A 17,386-nucleotide genomic window follows, 5' to 3' on the forward strand; every position below is an offset into this window, starting at 1 on the left:
GCATAAGGCTATCCAGTTATCCCAGCACCATTTATTGGATAGGTAGTCCTTTCTCCATTGCTTGTTACTGTCAATTTTGTCAAAGATCAGATGGTTGTAGGTGTGTGGCTTTAGTTTTGGGTTCTCTATCCTGTTCCATTGCTCCATGTCTGTAATAGGCTGTTTTGGTTAGTGTAGCTTTGTAGTATAGTTTGAAGTGGGGTAGTGTGATTTTTCCAGCTTTGTTCTTTTTGCTTAGGATTGCTTTGGCTGTTCAGGCTCTTTTGGTTCCATATGAATTTTAGAATAGTTTGTTCTAATTCTGTGAAAAATGACATTGGTAGTTTGATAGGAATAGCGTTGAATCTGTAGATTGCTTTGGGCAGTATGGCTTTTTTTTTTTTTTTTTTTTTTTTTTTTGAATTAGAGCCTTGCTCTGTTGCCCAGGCTGGGGTGCAGTGGCACAATCTCAGCTCACTGCAACCTCTGTCTCCCGGGTTCAAGTGATTCTCCTGCCTCAGCCTCCCAAGTAGCTGGGATTACAGGCACCCACCACCACACCCAGCCAATTTTTGTATTTTTAGTAGAAACAGGGTTTCACCATATTGGCCAGGCTGGTTTCAAACTCCTTGCCTCAAGTGATCCACCCGCCTCAGCCTCCCAAAGTGCTGGGATTACAGACATGAGCCACCATACCTGGCCCCATTTTAACAATATTGATTCTTTGATCCATGAGCATGGGATGTTTTTCCAGTGGTTTGTATCACCTATTATTTCTTTCAGCAATGTTTTATAGTTCTCTTTGTAGAGACCTCCTTGGTTAGATGTATTCCAAGGTTTTGGGGTGTGTGTGTGTGTCTGTCTGTCTGTCTAGGGTAAATGGGATTGCATTCTTGATTTGGCTCTCAGCTTGAACGTTATTGATGTATAGAAATGCTACTGATTTTTGTACATTGATTTTGTATCCTGAAACATTATTGAAGTCGTTTATCAGCTCTAGGTGCCTTTTAGTGGAACCTGTTGGGTTTTCCAGGTTTAGAATCATATTATTAGCAAAGAGATAGTTTGTCATTTTTTCCTATTCGGATGTCAATTCTTTCTCTTGCCTGATTGCTCTGATTAGGACTTCCTCCTTTAAATTTTAAGTGTACTTTCACCATCCTAGTTCTATGCTGTCTTCTTTTTAATCTTTTGATAGTTTTTCTTTTTTTGGAAACAGGGTCTCACTCTGTTGAACAGGCTGGAGTGCAGTGGTGTGATCACGTCTCACTTCAGCCTCAACCTCCTATACTCAAGCAACCTTCCCACCTCAGCCTCCTAAGTAGCTGGGACTACAGGTACAAGGCACCACGCTTGGCTGATTTTTAATTTTCTTGTAGAGACAGGGTCTTGCTATGTTGCCCAGGCTGGTCTTGAATTCCTGGACTCAAGTGATCCTCTCAAAGTGCTGGGATTGCAGCCATGAGCCCCTGCACCCAGCCAGTAGTTTTTCATTTTCACATTCCTCATCTCAGTTTTTTCTTTCCTAGTCACTCCTGTTCCCATTGTGTCTTTTTTGGTCATCTTTGTGTAGCAATGAATATAAATAAATAGCCCTATTGGCTAGCAAAAAATGTTTTTTTTAATTGACCAGTTGTTAGACTATAATTCTGATTATGCCCAATTTACCAGTTGTTAAATGGATTGTTTGTCATTTTCATGTTTCCCTTGGTAAGTGAAATTGTGAACATCATGTAGCAATTATCATTTTTTGATTTTACAAAATGGCAGACAAAATGAGTAAAGTTTAAGTTCTCTTTACTCCTGTCACCAATTTCAGTTCTCTTTCCAGAGATAACCACTATTACTAGTTTGGCATAAATCCTTCCAGACCTTTATACGTAATCATGCCTCTGTGTAATATACAAATATATATTTGTATTAGCATATTTATTCTTATTTACATAAATGGTATACTGTTTATTGTGTTCTACAGCTTACCTTTTTTTTTTTTTTTTTTTTTTTTTTTTGAGGCAAAGCCTCATTCTGTCACCCAGGCTGGCGCAATTTCAGCTCACTGGGTTCTCAGCTCACCTCCGCCTCCTGGGTTCAAGCAATTCTCTGCCTCCACCTCCCGAGTAGCTGGGATTACAGGCCTGGCTAATTTTTGTATTTTCAGTAGAAATGGGGTTTCACCATGTTGCCCAGGCTGGTCTCGAACTCCTGACCTCATGTGATCCACCCACCTTGGCCTACCAAAGTTCTGGGACTACAGGCGTGGGCCACCGCGCCTGGCCAGCTTACCTTTTTCATTGATGTGTTTGGAGATCTTTCCATGTTAAAACATACAGAGGTACTTTAAAATACCAGATTTTCAGTTACTTTTGTTAATTACACTAAAGTCTCTTCTAATAAACTGTAAAAGCTTCTTGATAATAGAATCCATGTCTTATTCATTATTATGTTTCTCAGAGCACCTAATACCTAGTTAGCATAATATAGATTAGTCAAACTGTCTCTTTTTTCTACTGTCATTCCTTTCTGGTCCTTCTAAATAAAACAGTGGGCTAAATTGTACTCATATATGTTTCTTTTTCACTTTTGTTAATATATAGTATTCTGTTGTTTAACACAAGGGTCACAAATTCAAAGTCCAGTTGGGGAGGTTCAATGTAGCTGGTCAGGTCATAGAGAAGGCAGAGGTTTGGGATGTTACTCGAGCCTGCATATCCTGATTTGAGGATGTGGCTAGTGCTCAAATCCAGCCAGTTATTGCCTCATGAAATGTTGGCCCAGAGAACCAATTTAATGTAGTGGGAAAGCACTCAAACTACTTGGCTGAATGCTATCTCACTACTTACTTTATAAATGTGGACGAGTTACTTAACCACTGTGCCTCTGTTTCCTCATCTCTAAAATATAAATAGTAATATTGCCTATCTTACTGTTTTTGTGAAGATTAAATGAATTTCAAAATGTAAAACACATTAGGACAGAGTTAGCACATAGTAATTGGCATAGATACCACATTTTACCAATTCTGAGATGCACATTAGCATGTAAACCTCTTTGAAATCAGGATACATCTTGTAATTATAACTGGGGGTATTTCTTTTTTCTTCGTGATTTCATTAAAAAGATGGGGGGTCTTAAAATTGATGGCTTCTTAAATTGTACAAAATAAGAGTGTTAGCTACCATTAGCTGTCAGGCTGATGTTTTTCAAGAAAAGATACAAATTTGAGCTGAGCTCTGTGTTGCATGCGTGTAGTCCCAGCTACTTGTTAGACTGAGGTGGGAAAATTGCTTGAGCTCAGGAGTTCAAGGATATAGTGAGCTATGAATAGTGCCACTGCACTCCAGCCTGTACAGCAGAGCAAGAAGATCCTGGCTCTAAAAAAAGAACAGTGAAGAAAACATAGAAATCTGGATTTTTAAATGCTGGCTTAAAATTTATTTTAAATGCTGTATGAGTCAAATAGATTTTTCAAATAATATAGTAAATATAATACATTATTATTATTATTATTATTGTTATTTTGAGTCAGAATCTTGCTCTGTCACCGAGGCTGGAGTGTAGTGGCGTGATCTCGGCTCACTGCAACCTCCACCTCCCAGGTTCAAGCGATTCTCCTGCCTCAGCCTCCTGAGTAGCTGGGATCACGGGCATGTGCCATCACACCCAGCCAATTTTTCACTTTTGTATTTTTAGTAGAGACAGAGTTTCACCATGTTGGCCAGGCTGGTCTCGAACTCCTGACCTTGTGATCTGCCTGCCTTGGCCTCCCAGAGTGCTGGGATTATAGGTATGAGTCATTGGGCCTGGCTAATACACTATTATTTTTTAAAATTCTATAATATTAAGTTGGGGGCCAGGCACAGTAGGTCATGCCTGTAATCCCAGCACTTTGGGAGGCCAAAGCCAGTGGATCATCCAAGGTCAGGAGTTCAAGACCAGCCTGGCCAACATGGTCAAACCCCATCTCTACTAATAATATAAAAATTAGCTGGGCATGGTGGCACATGCATGTAAGCCTAGCTGCTTGGGAGGCTGAGGCAGGAGGATTGCTGGAACCTGGGAGGCGGAGGTTGCAGTGAGCCGAGATCACTCCATTGCACTCCAGCCTGGATGACAGAGTGAGACTTCGTCTCAAAAAAAAAAAATTAAGTCTTTTTTTGTTTGTTTGTTTTGAGACAGGATCTCACTCTGTCTTGCAGGTTGGAGTGCAGTGGCGTAAACATGGGTTACAGTGGCTTCAACCTCCTGGCTTTAAGCAATCCTCCCACGTCAGCCTCCTGAGTAGCTGTGACCACAGGTGTACAACACAATGCTTGGCTAATTTTTAAAAATTTTTAATGGAGATAGGGGTTTCGCCATGTTGCCCAGGCTGTTCTTGAACTCCTGGGCTCAAGCAATCTTCCTGGCTTAGGTCCCCAAAGTGTTGGGATTACAGGTGAGAGTCACTGTGCCGGGCCAAGTATATATATATATTTTTTTATCCTTTAAGTTCTGTCAGACCTGACTGGCCAAGTGTTTTTTTGTTTGTTTGTTTTGTTTGGTTTATTTTTTTGGAGTCTCACCCTGTTGCCCAGGCTGGAGTGCAATGGTGCAAACTGGGCTCACTGCAACCTCCACTTCCCGGGTTCAAGCGATTCTCCTGCCTCAGCCTCCCGAGTAGCTGGGATTACAGGTGCCCGCCACCATGCCCAGCTAATTTTTTGTAACTTTAGTAGAGACAGGGTTTCACCAGGTTCGCCAGGCTGGTCTCAAACTCCTGACCTCGTGATCCGCCCGCCTCGTCCTCCCAAAGTGCTGAGATTACAGGCGTGAGCCACTGAGCCCAGCCAAGTTTTTTTAAAGTGTTGTAAATTTTGAGCGTTAAGTAACCTTAGAGTTATTCTACTTTATCTTTCCATTTTGCAGATAATGAATTTTACTTTAAAAGATTATATTTAAGGGACAGTCCATCCTCATTATTTGTCAATTTCTTACTTGCAAATTCACCTACTCACTAAAATATATTTGTATCGCACAAATCAGTACTTTGAGCACTTTATGGTTATTTGTAGATGGTACAGCAGTGAAAAATTTGATTCTCCCAACATACACATCTCCAATTGAGGTCAAAGAAGGTGATGCTTTGCCTTCTTGTTTCAGTTCTCATGCTGTAAGTGTGTCCTTTCATGGTCTGTTTAGTGTTATGCTTTTTGCATTTTTGTATTTTATCTTTTTCTTTTTTTTTTTTTTTTTTTTGAGACAGAGTCTGACTCTGTTGCCCAGGGTGGAGTGCAGTGGCGTGATCTCGGCTCACTGCAAGCTCTGCCTCCGCCTCCCGAGTTTAAGTGATTCTCCTGCCTCACCCTCCTGAGTAGCTGGGTTTACAGTCATGCTCCACCACACTCAGCTAGTTTTTGTATTTTTAGTAGAGACAGGGTTTCACCATGTTGGCCAGGCTGGTCTCGAACTCCTGACCTCAAGTGATCCACCTCAGCTTCCCAAAGTGCTGGGATTACAGGCGTGAGCCACCACACCCAGCCTCATCTTTGTATTGTTTTGTTTGGGATTTCCCTATTAAAAATAGACCCCGTGTAGTGTTGTCTGGTGTTCCTAAGCACAAGAAGGCTGTGATGTTCCTTACAGAGGTGATATGTATATTATGTAAGCATCACTGAGGCATGTGTTATAGTGCTGTTGGCCATGAGATCAATATTAATGGTCAAGGATGTATATTAAATAAGATGTCTTTGGCCACATGCAGTAGCTCACACATGTAATCCTAGCACTTTGGAAGACAGAGGCAGGAGGACCACTTGAGCTCATTAGTTCAAGATCAGCCTGGGCAACATAGTGACACCTCATCTCTAAAAAAATTTTAAAAAGGTGTCTTTAAACAGAAATACACATAAAAGGTTTTATATTGATCAGTTGATGAAAATGTGATCAGAGGCTTGCGGGAAACTAACCCTGTATTTTCTCTAGGACCAGTGGGTTTTGTTTTTAGAGATGGAGTCTCACTCTGTTACCCAGTCTGGAGTTCAGTGGCACGACTGTGGCTCACTGCAGTCTCAAACTACTGGGCTCAAGTGATCCTCCTGCCTCAGCCTCCTGAGTAGCTAGGACTACAGGCACTCGCCAACATGCCTGGTTAATTTTTAAATTTCTTATAAAGACAGGATCTAGCTGTGTTGCCCAGGCTGATCACAAATTCCTGGCTTCAAGCAGTCCTCCTTTTCGGCCTCCCAGAACTCTGAGATTACAGACATGAGCTACTGCGCCTGGCCTAGGAGCAGTGGTTTAGTATTCACTAATTCAGTTTTCATGGTAACTTTATAAAACATAGCTACTGTAAATAGCAACAAACAGTTATATTCATAAACCAGGTGAATAGTCAATCAGGTGGTATTTTAGAGTAGGTAATAAAAGCAAGATCTAATATGGAAATTTCTTTAATTTTTTTCTCTTTATTTATTGAAGCAATAATGGAAATATGCTTGCTGTAAATAATCCAAATCAGTATGTAGTCTAAAATTGCCTCTTTCTTCCTTCACAGTCTTACTTCGCATCACTCGAAGTAATCTCTAGTAAAGTTTGGTGTACATCCTTCTACAGTGTTGTCTTTTGTATTTACCAATATATATATTTACACAAATGAGTTTCTTTATAAAAATCTGTAACTGTGATAGTTCTTGGTAGCTCAGTGTCGGGGCTAAATTCTGAGAAATGCATTATTAGGCAGTTTTGTTGTGCAAACATCCTAGAGTGTACTTAAAGCAAACCTAGATAGTATAGCCTACTATTCACCTAGGCTGTATGGTGTAGCCTATTGCTCTTGGGCCATAAACCTGTACAGCGTGTTACTGTAATGAATACTGTAGGCAATTATAACAATGGTAAATATTTGTGTATCTATGCATCTACAGTAAAATGTGGCATAAAAGATAGTAAATAGTATGCCTATATAGGTCGCTTAATCATGAATAGAGCTTGCAGGACCAGAAGTTGCTCTGGATGAGTCAAGTGAGTGAGTGGTGAATGAATGTGAAGACCAAGGACATTATGTAAAGTATACTTTATAAACACTATACACTTAAGGCTACACTAAATTCATTTTTTAAAATTTTCTTCAGTAATTGACCTTAGTTTACTATAACTTTTTAACTTCATAAAGTTTTAAACTTTTTTTAAAGCTTTCTGTAATAATGCTTAGTTTAAAACACAAACACATTGTACGATATTTTTCTTCTATATCCTTCTTCTATAAGCTTTTTCCTATTTTAAAATTTTTACTTTTTAAACTTTTTTTTTTTTTTTTTTTTTTTGAGACAGTCTCGCTCTGTCAGCCAGGCTGAAGTGCAATGGCGCAATATCGGCTCACTGCAACCTCCGCCTCCCAAGCTCAAGTAATTCTCCCGCCTCAGCCTCTCGAGTAGCTGGGATTACAGGCACCTGCCATCATGCCTGGCTAATTTTTCCATTTTTGTAGAGATGGGGTTTCACCATGTTGGCCAGGCTGGTGTTGAACTCCTGACCTCAGGTGATTCGGCCTCCCAAAGTGCTGGGATTATAGGCGTGAGCTACCATGCCCGGCCACTTTTTTGTTAAAAACTAAGACACAAACACCTGTTAGCCTAGGCCTACACAGGGCAGGGTCATCAATATCACTGTCTTCTACCCTCATCTCTTGTTCCACTGGAAGGTCTTCAGGGGCAGTAACATGCAATAGAGCTGTCAACTCCTATAATAATAATGCCTTCTTCTGGAATACTTCTTGAAGGACCTGCCTGAGGCTGTTTTACAGTTAACTTTTATTTTTTGTGAGTAGAAGTACACTCTAACATAACCATTAAAAGTATAATATAGTAAATACATAAACAAGTAACAGTCATTTGTTACTGTTATCAAGTATTATGTACTGTACACAATTGTCTGTGCCATACTTTCATAAGCCTGGCAGTGCAGTGGGTTTGTTTACACCAGCATCACCACAAACACATGAGTAATGTGTTGTGCTAAGGCTAGGACATCGGTAGGTGATAGGAATTTTGCATTTCCATTATCATCATATGGGACGTCTGTGCAGTGGTCCATTGTTGACTTGAATGTCGTTACGTAGGCCATGCGTATTTTAAAATTTTTAACAGTGGGTTTTGGAGATTTGTTTCAAACAAATAGGCTGAGGCATTTGTTTCTTGTTAACACTTTTCTATTCTGTAATCTTACCTATCTTCACTGTATTTACATATGTGTTATTCAGATGGTGAAATTTTGGAAAAGTTACTTGTTTCAAGTACAGAATGGTTGAAATGTGTGCCTTGGTAGTATGCTGAGATAAGAAATACTTTGTTAAAAGGCCTAGGGGCAAACATTTCTGACTTTCTCATGAAAATAGAGTGGATCAATTTCTTCTGTGTTGTAACTCCCTCTTTTGATCACTAATTGATAAGGTGCTAGATTACATTAAAATCTGATATCTAAATGTTTTACATCCTTCCCAACTTTCCTATCATGTAGATGAGAGTGTTGAGAACTAAGATAAGAGTTTGTGACTTCAGATGACCAGTGAGTTTATGAATTTTGCTTAAAACTACTAATCGTCTTCTTTGGTCGGTTTCCAAGAGAATGAGGTTCCAGCAACAAAGCCTGCTTCAGGATCCCATCTGGGAAAGTGAATAAGCATATCTTTTTTTTTTTTTTTTTGAGACAGAGTCTCGCTCAGTTGCCCAGGCTGGAGTGCAGTGGCACGATCTCGGCTCACTGCAGGCTCCACCTCCCGGGTTCAAGCCATTCTCCTGCCTCAGCCTCCCGAGTGGCTGGGACTACAGGCACCCACCACCATGCCTGGCTAATTTTCTTGTATTTTTAGTAGAGACAGGGTTTCACCGTGTTAGCCAGGATGGTCACGATCTCCTGACCTCGTGATCCACCCGTGTCGGCCTCCCAAAGTGCTGGGATTACAAGCGTGAGCCACCATGCCTGGCCGAATAAGTGTTATCTTTTAACTGTACAATTAAATTGTTTTTCCTTCTGATGGTAACATACTCATTGAGTCGGTTTTCCTACTCTTCTTTTTGCTTCATTCTTGTTACCCTTACTCACACTTCCATCTGTATCCAAAATTGTGTTTCTCTAAGGCCCCTCTGCCTGGCTGTGCTGTCCAAAGTAGCACCTTCACTCAGTCACGGTCTCACTTCCCTCACTTTCTGTGTTTGTCTTACTTGTTTTTAATATATTCTGTCTCTTTGCCATTATAGTTTCATTAGAATAGGTACCTTCTGTACTGGTTCTCTGCTATTTTCCCAGCGTAGACCAGTGCCTTGCAAAATGTTAAGTACTTGAACGGTGTTTCCCAGACTGTCTGTAGTGAAGGACCAGTTGATTTTTTAGTTTGTTTTTCAAATTTCATCATAGGCCAGTAAATACATTTTGTTATAAAATACAATAAAAATCAATTACTAGAAAAAATGACATCACATACAAGCCCTTTTTTTTGAGACAGAGTCTCGCTCTGTCACCTAGGCTGGAGTGCAGTGGCGCGATCTTGGCTCACTGCAAGCTCCGCCTCCTGGATTCACGCCATTCTCCTGCCTCAGCCTCCCAAGTAGCTGGGACTACAGGCGCCCGCCACCACGGCCGGCTAATTTTTTGTATTTTTAGTAGAGATGGGGTTTCACCGTGTTAGCCAGGATAGTCTGGATCTCCTGACCTCATGATCCGCCCGCCATGGCCTCCCAAAGTGCTGGGATTACAGGCATGAGCCACTGTGCCTCGCCCCTGTTTTTCTTTTTTTTATTAGATCCAACAGCCATAAAAGTATCCATTGTCTATAGAGGTTTCTAAATGCTTAGTCTCTATTTCTGAAGTTAGTTTATTATAAACCACTGCTTCAGGTTGCACTGTTCTTGGCCCCCCCATAAGTGTGGCAGCACTCTAGTATTTGTTGAACAAATGAATGGATTACCAGCCTCAGGGTTACCACAATAAATTCTTCAGACTGTATTATTCCTTTGACCTTTAACTTTCCTAAACCCCAGAGTATATACTGAGATACGGAAGGATGATGGCTCATTCATGATATCAGACTTCAGCTGGCTTATTCACTGCTGTTTTTTGATTCTATAATAATTATTATTTTGAGACGGAGTCTCACTCTGTCGCCCAGGCCAGAGTGCAGTGGTGTGATCTTGGCTCACTGCAACCTCCGCCTCTCAGGTTCAAGCAGTTCTCGTGCCTCAGACTCCCGAGTAGCTGAGATTACAGGCACCCACCATCACACCCAGCTCTTTTTTGTATTTTTAGTAGAGACAAGGTTTCACCATTTTGGGCAGGCTGGTCTTGAACTCCTGACCTCAGGTGATCTGCCTGCCTTGGCCTCCCAAAGTGCTGGGATTAGAGGCGTAAGCCACCGCGCCCAGCCCCTATCCTTTTTGTTTTTTATTATAAAAGTAATATCTGAATACATGATTGTTTAAATAAATGCTGTGTAAGTGTATAAAATGAAAAGTAAAAGGCCCCCATGAATGGACATTAAGATACTTCCGATGTGTTTTGTTTTCTATTGCTGCAGTATTTGTTACTGTACTTGTGATGGTACATGTGCATATATTGCTCTAAAACAAATTTCTAGAAGTTGAATTCCAAACAGTGACTGTTCCAGATGTCTTATTTTTTAGGACCCCAAGCCTCTTAAATTTAGGTCTTTCCGTTATTCCCTTACCTTCTCCCTTATCCCTTCAAATCTTTGCCCACTGCCATCACATTAATGCCTTCTTTGACCTTATTTTATCTGTTATAGTAATGAGCTGCCCTGTTCTTTCTATCTTTAATCTCCCCACTCCACCTTGTCCTTATTATCTCAGCTAGTTTAATTCTTAAAAGTGAGTATATTAATCCTTGGAATCTTTCTTTTTTATATATATATATAGTACTGATATTTTTCAGTTAGTAGCTTCTGATTATAACTTTCCCAAATTGAGGCTTTCATTTCCTTAGAACAAGGAACTGCCCTGGCTGGGCAGTTTAGTCAAAGGCTTGTCAGGGTGTTTAGTAGACAGTTGTGCAAGTGGAGCTATTCACAGGGACTGTATTACTATGTTCCTTTGTTACTAAAAAAAAATTCTTGCAGTCCCTGTAGTTCGCAACAGATACTCTGACTCATATTTCTCTACATAGGAGAAAGAGTATGGACTTTGGAGTGATACATCTATAGCTCGGTTAGGATCTAGACTCTGCTCCCAAACTGGTAGTGTATTTTGGGGTGCACTGCTATGTTTCTGAGCCTTCATTTCTTCCTTATAAAGAGTTTATTAGTTTGTAGCCAGGCGCAGTGGCTCACACCTGTAATTCCAGCACTTTGGGAGGCTGAGGTTGGTGGATCACCTGAGGTCAGGAGTTCAAGACCAGCCTGGCCAACAGGGTGAAACCCCGTTTCTACTAAAATTACAAAAATTAGCCGGACGTAGTGGCACATGTTTGTAATCCCAACTACTCAGGAGGCTGAGGTGAGAGAATCGCTTGAATCCAGGAGGCAGAGGTTGCAGTGAGCTGAAATTGTACCACTGCACTCCAGCCTAGGCGACAGAGTGAGACTCCGTGTCAAATAAAAAATAAAAAAAAAACGAAAAAAACAGTTTATTAGTTTGGGCATTGTTTCAGCCGCTGTAACACAGGCCAGGAAACAGAAGTCTAACCAAGATAAAAATTTATGTCTTTGTCTGATAAAAGTCCAAGCTAGTAGATAATCCCTACGGTATGTAGTTCTGTTCCTTAGGTGGTCCAGGGGACCAGGTCCTGCTTTTTATCTTATTCTGCCATCTTCCTGTCCCCTCCCTCTTGCTGTAGTTTGAATTGTTAAAGGCACCTAATAACCACCAGCCTAAGTTCTAGGCCAAGGGAAGGAGAAAGAGCAATGAAGAACAAGTAGCTTCCTTTAGGGACGTGAACTTAAAGATACTCACAACTCATTGGCCAGAATGTATTATAGTTTCTGTCCATGCCTAGCTGCAAGGAAAGCCTGAAAATAGGATATAGGTGGACAGTCATGTGCCCAGCTAAAGCACAGAGACGTCTAGTAACTGAAAGGAAGAAGGATAGAATGGACAATGTGGCACAATTATACTGCACTGAGTTGGTTTTTCAAGTAGGAAATAAATGGAATAATAGTTTTGAGATCTACAATTTCTGAGTAGAAACTAAGCGTACTTTTGTACAGAATTTTTGTTTGGTAAATATCAACAGAAAAATATAGACTTGTGTATAGACTAAAACATGACTAGGTCTTTGTAGGGTTTGGAACATAAGTAATATGTTTTCCTTTCATTTGGCTTCAGTTGTCTGTAAATAGCAAACATAATGCTTTCTTATAGAGAGATCACTTTTTCAGAAACTTCAACTATCTGGAATATTGTTAGGAGGTAATAAGGCCTCAAGGTAGCAAAAGTATAAGTTGCATAGTCCGTGTTCTCAATCTTGATTTCAAGCTTGAGTAATTTTGGGGTATAGACATATTACTATTCAACTTAATTATTTAGTACCTCGCTCAGTAGCAAATTTAAATCTGCAATATTTGAATGGTCCATTAAAGGTATATATGATGGAAATGATAGCCAAAAGCCTGATAGGATAGAAGAATAATACAAGGAAGAAAAATACAAAGAAGTCATAAGCTTGGTAATAATAAAATTTGCTAACATTTATTGAAGATTCATAGGTGCCAGGTATTATATAAAGCTTTTATATGTATTATTTCATTTAATATCTAAGACATCCTCTATATCATATAGGGGAGGATTTAGGTTTATATGCTAAGAAAGCTCATAATTACATTCTTCTTTGTTTATGAAGATAGAGAAGCATGTAACTAATTTTAGATCACCATCAGAAATCATTAAAATGAAAAGGCCATTTTGGTGCTTGACAGAGGTATCTGAAAGAGCTCAGTCTAATGGTGCTAGGTAAATAAGTTGTTCTTTTTAAAATTATTATTATATTTTGAGGCAGGGTCTTGCTCTGTCATCCAGGCTGAAGTACAGTGACGCATCCACAGCCACACTCACTGTAGCCTCGGACTGCTCAAGCAGTCCTCCTACCTCAGCCTCTGGAGTAGCTAGGACTACAAACATACCACCACGCCCACTTAATTTTTTTATTTTCTGTAGAGATGGGATCTCACTATGTTGCCCAGGCTGGGCTTGAGTTCCTAGCCTCAAGCATTCCTCCCACTTCAGTATCCCAAAGTGTTAGGATTACAAGTGTGAGCTGCCATTCTCAGCCATAAGTTGTTCTTATATTCACCTTTGACTTTTTTTTTTTTTTTTTTTTTTTTTGAGATGGAGTCTCGCTCTGTGGCCCAGGCTGGAGTGCAGTGGCGCAATCTTGGCTCACTGCAAGCTCCGCCTCCTGGGTTCATGCCATTCTCCTGCCTCAGCGTCCTGAGTAGCTGGGACTACAGATGTCCACCACCATACCCAGCTAATTTTTTGTATTTTTTTTTTTAGTAGAGATGGGGTTTCACTGTGTTAACCAAGATGGTCTCGATCTCCTGACCTCCTGATCCGCCCACCTCGGCCTCCCAGAGTGCTGAGCCACCTCACCTGGCCTTTTTTTTTTTTTTTTTTTTTTTTGAGACAGAGTTTCACTCTTGTTGCCCAGGCTAGAGTGCAATGGTGCGATCTCGGCTCACCGCAACCTCCGCCTCCTGGGTTCAAGCAGTTCTCCTGCCTCAGCCTCCTGAGCAGCTGGAATTACAGGCATGTATCACCACGCCCAGCTAATTTTGTATTTTCAGTAGAGACGGGGTTTCTCTGTGTTGAGGCTGGTCTCGAACTCCTGACCTCAGGTGATCCGCCCCCTTCAGCCTCCCAAAGTGCTGGGATTACAGGCGTGAGCCATCGTGCCCAGCTGGTATTTCTTTTTTTTTTTTTTTTTTACAGGCTGGAGTGCAGTGGTGTCACTTTGGCTCACTGCAACCTCCACCTCCCAGGCTCAAGCAATTCTTGTGCCTCGGCCTTCTGAACAGCTGAGACTACAGGCGTGCATGACCATGCCTGGCTAATTTGTTGTAGTTTAGTAGGGACGGGGTTTTGCCACATTGCCTACACTGGTCTTGAACTCCTGAGCTCAGGCAATCCACCCCTCTCAGCCTCCCAAAGTGCTGGGATTACAGGCATGAGCCACCGCGCCTGGCCATCCTCCAGTATTTCTAAAGCTAAGTTTCTCTACCAACATTGAACAGCTTTTATATTTCTGCGTTTAGCAAGTAATGATTGAAGAGCATCCAGACATGGAAATTTATATTTTGAGACAAGTAGCTCTATACACCAACCAAAGGTAAGGTTGAGGCTAGATTCAAGCCCTGCATGGTACTGGGACTAAGTACCTCAAGGTAGATAAGAATCCCAGATCTAGAACCAGTACTTGAGGTCTAAGACTAAGAAGAAGCAGAAAACGCCTGGAAAAAAAATTTACCATTCATAGTATCAACTATAAGCTACCTTAAAAAAATGAGCAAAAGATGTACAAGTCCTAAGTAAAGGCAATTGCAGTCTTGCTTTGGAAAACTATTTTGACTCAATAAATTCTTTAAGCTGAGAGTAATGAGGTTCATGTTTTTAAGAGATAACTAAGTAGTTTTTCTAAGTAGTAAAAAAAATATATATATACATATATGTGTATATATATGTATATATTAGGAAAAGTGTCAACCAGTTATATAATAAAGAGAAAATTATATCATTTCCATGAATGATTTTTAAATGTGAACAGTTAGAATGAATAAAGAAAGAATGTAAAGCTAGGCTTGGTTATCCTGCTATATCTGCTATATGAAGAAATGCAAATCAGCAATTGTAAAGACTCCTAGAAATCATGCAATGCACAAACCGAGTTAATTTCGTATAACCTTGTGTTTCCCACTTGTTCTGTGATCGTAGGGAATCTATTAATATCTTCTGGGACACTAGAAGTCTGCAAAACATAATTTGGGAAATGCTATATGTATTTGAACACCATTAATTCAGATACGTAGGGTGCAAACATTTGCATTGCCAAAATCTTAATGTACAGAATCTTTAAAGAATATAATAAACTTATACTTTCTTTTTGTTTTTTTTAATGGAGAAACAAGGTCTCACTCTGTTGCTCAGGCTGGAGTGCAGTGGCGTGATCATAGCTTGCTGCAACCTCTTAACTTCTGAGTTCAAGTGATCCACCTGCCTTAGCCTGCTGAGTAGCTATGACTACAGGCTCACACCATCATACCTAGCTAATTTTATTTTTTGTAGAGACATGGTCTCACTATGTTGCCCAGGCTGGTCTCAAACTCCTGGCCTAAAGTACATTCTTTAGTAAGTTAAAATACTTGCTTTTTTAATGATAGTCTTGAAAAAAAAAAAGTTAAAATACTAATTGGCCGAGCTAGAAAGGACCCAAGTGTTTTTTAAACTATGTTCTTTTTTTTTTTTTTCTCCCGAGACGGAGTCTTGCACTGTCGCCCAGGCTGGAGTGCAGTGGTGCGATCTCGGCTCACTGCAAGCTCCGCCTCTAGGTTCATGCCATTCTCCTGCCTCAGCCTCCTGAGTAGCTGGGACTACAGGCACCCGTCACCAGGCCCAGCTAATTTTTATTGCATTTTTAGTAGAGACAGGGTTTCATCATGTTAGCCAGCATGGTCTCGATCTCCTGACCTCGTGATCCACCCACCTCAGCCTCCCAAAGTGCTAGGATTATAGGCGTGAGCCACCACGCCCGGCCTAAACTATGTTCTTCATCAGATGTTTTCCAAATATTTTCACCCAGTCTGTGGTTTACCTTTTCAGTCTCTTCATAGTGTCTTTCGAACAGCAGAAGTGGGGTTGGGTGCAGTGGCTCACACCTGTAATCCCAGCACTTTGGGAGGCCAACGTGGGAGAATCACTTGAGCCCAGGAGTTTGAGAGCAGACTGAGCAATATAGTTAGACCCTGTCTCTAAAAATTACAAGAAAATTAGCCAGATGTAGTTGTGGTTGTGTGCCTGTGGGCCCAGCTACTCGAGAGGCTGAGGTGGGAGGATTGCTTGAGGACAGGAGGTTGTGGCTACAGGGAGCCATGATTGCACCACTGCACTTCAACCTAGGAGATAGAGCAAGACCCCATCTAAAAAAAAAGTGATGAAATCTAATTTATTACATTTTTCTTTTTTTAATTTTTATTTATTTATTTTTGAGACAGGGTCTCGCTCTGTCAACAGGCTGGAGTGTAGTGGTGCGATCTTAGCTCGCTGCAACCTCTGCCTCCCGGGTTCAAGCGATTCTCCTGCCTCAGCTTCCCGAGTAGCTGGGGACTATAGGTGCGCACCACCTCACCCAGCTAATTTTTGTATTTTTAGTAGAGACAGGGTTTCACCATGTTGGCCAGGATGGTCTCGATCTCTTGACTTTGTGATCCACCCACCTCGACCTCCCAAAGTGCTGAGATTACAGGTGTGAGCCACCGTGCCCATTCTACATTTTTCTTTTATGAATGTGGCATCTGAGAAGTCTTCGCCTAAACAGAGGTCACGAGGATTTTCTCGTATGCTTTCTTCTAGAAGTTTTACAGTTTTAGGTTTCCAAATTCTTTTTTAATGTAATTTTATATGCACAGTCTGATACTTTTGCTTTACTGAATCCGTAGTTTAAATTTAGTTTTATAACTTGCTTTTTTTCATCTCATTATTATACCATGGTATTTTCATATCAGTAGTTAATTCTTTTGAATACCTACATGGCGTTCCATCAAAGAATGTATTACAATTGTTTAGCTTTCTTCTCATATTGGATAGTTAAGTTGTTATCTGTTTTTTCCTATTATTAATAATGTTCCAAGATTTGTTTTAAAATTCAGTTGAAAGTTTGGTTTCTATAAATTATTTTATTTTATTTTATTTTATTTTTATTTATTTATTTATTTGAAACGGAACCTCACTCTGTCACTCAGGCTGGAGTGCAGTGGTGCAATCTCGGCTCACTGCAACCTCCGCCTGCCAGGTTCAAGCAATTCTTCTGCCTCAGCCTCCCAAGTAGCTGGGACTACAGACACGTGCCACCATGCCCGGCTAATTTTAGTATTTTTAGTAGAGACAGGGTTTCACCATATTGGCCAAGCTCATCTAGAGCTCCTGACTTCAGGTGATCCACCCGCCTCGGCCTCCCAAAGTGCTGGGATTACAGGCATGAGCCACTGAGCCCGGCCAAGATTCGTTTTAAAATTCAGTTTAAATTTTGGTTTTGGCCGGGCGCAGTGGCTCATGCCTGTAATCCCAGCACTTTGGGAGGCCGAGGCGGGTGGATCACCTGAAGTCAGGAGCTCTAGATGAGCTTGGCCAATATGGTGAAACCCTGTCTCTACTAAAAATACTAAAATTAGCCAGGCATGGTGGCAGGTGCCTGTAATCCCATCTTTTCAGGGGGGCCG

General features: G+C 40.9%; 1 protein-coding gene across 4 annotated transcripts in view; it reads left to right on the top strand.

Annotated features, from left to right (window-relative positions):
* Positions 1–17,386, top strand: part of USO1 (USO1 vesicle transport factor) — an 89,710-nt gene that overhangs the window by 9,771 nt on the left and 62,553 nt on the right. The window lies entirely within an intron of this gene.

The sequence above is a fragment of the Homo sapiens genome, chromosome 4 (genome assembly GCF_000001405.40).
Source record: "Homo sapiens chromosome 4, GRCh38.p14 Primary Assembly".
Lineage (NCBI taxonomy): Eukaryota > Metazoa > Chordata > Mammalia > Primates > Hominidae > Homo > Homo sapiens.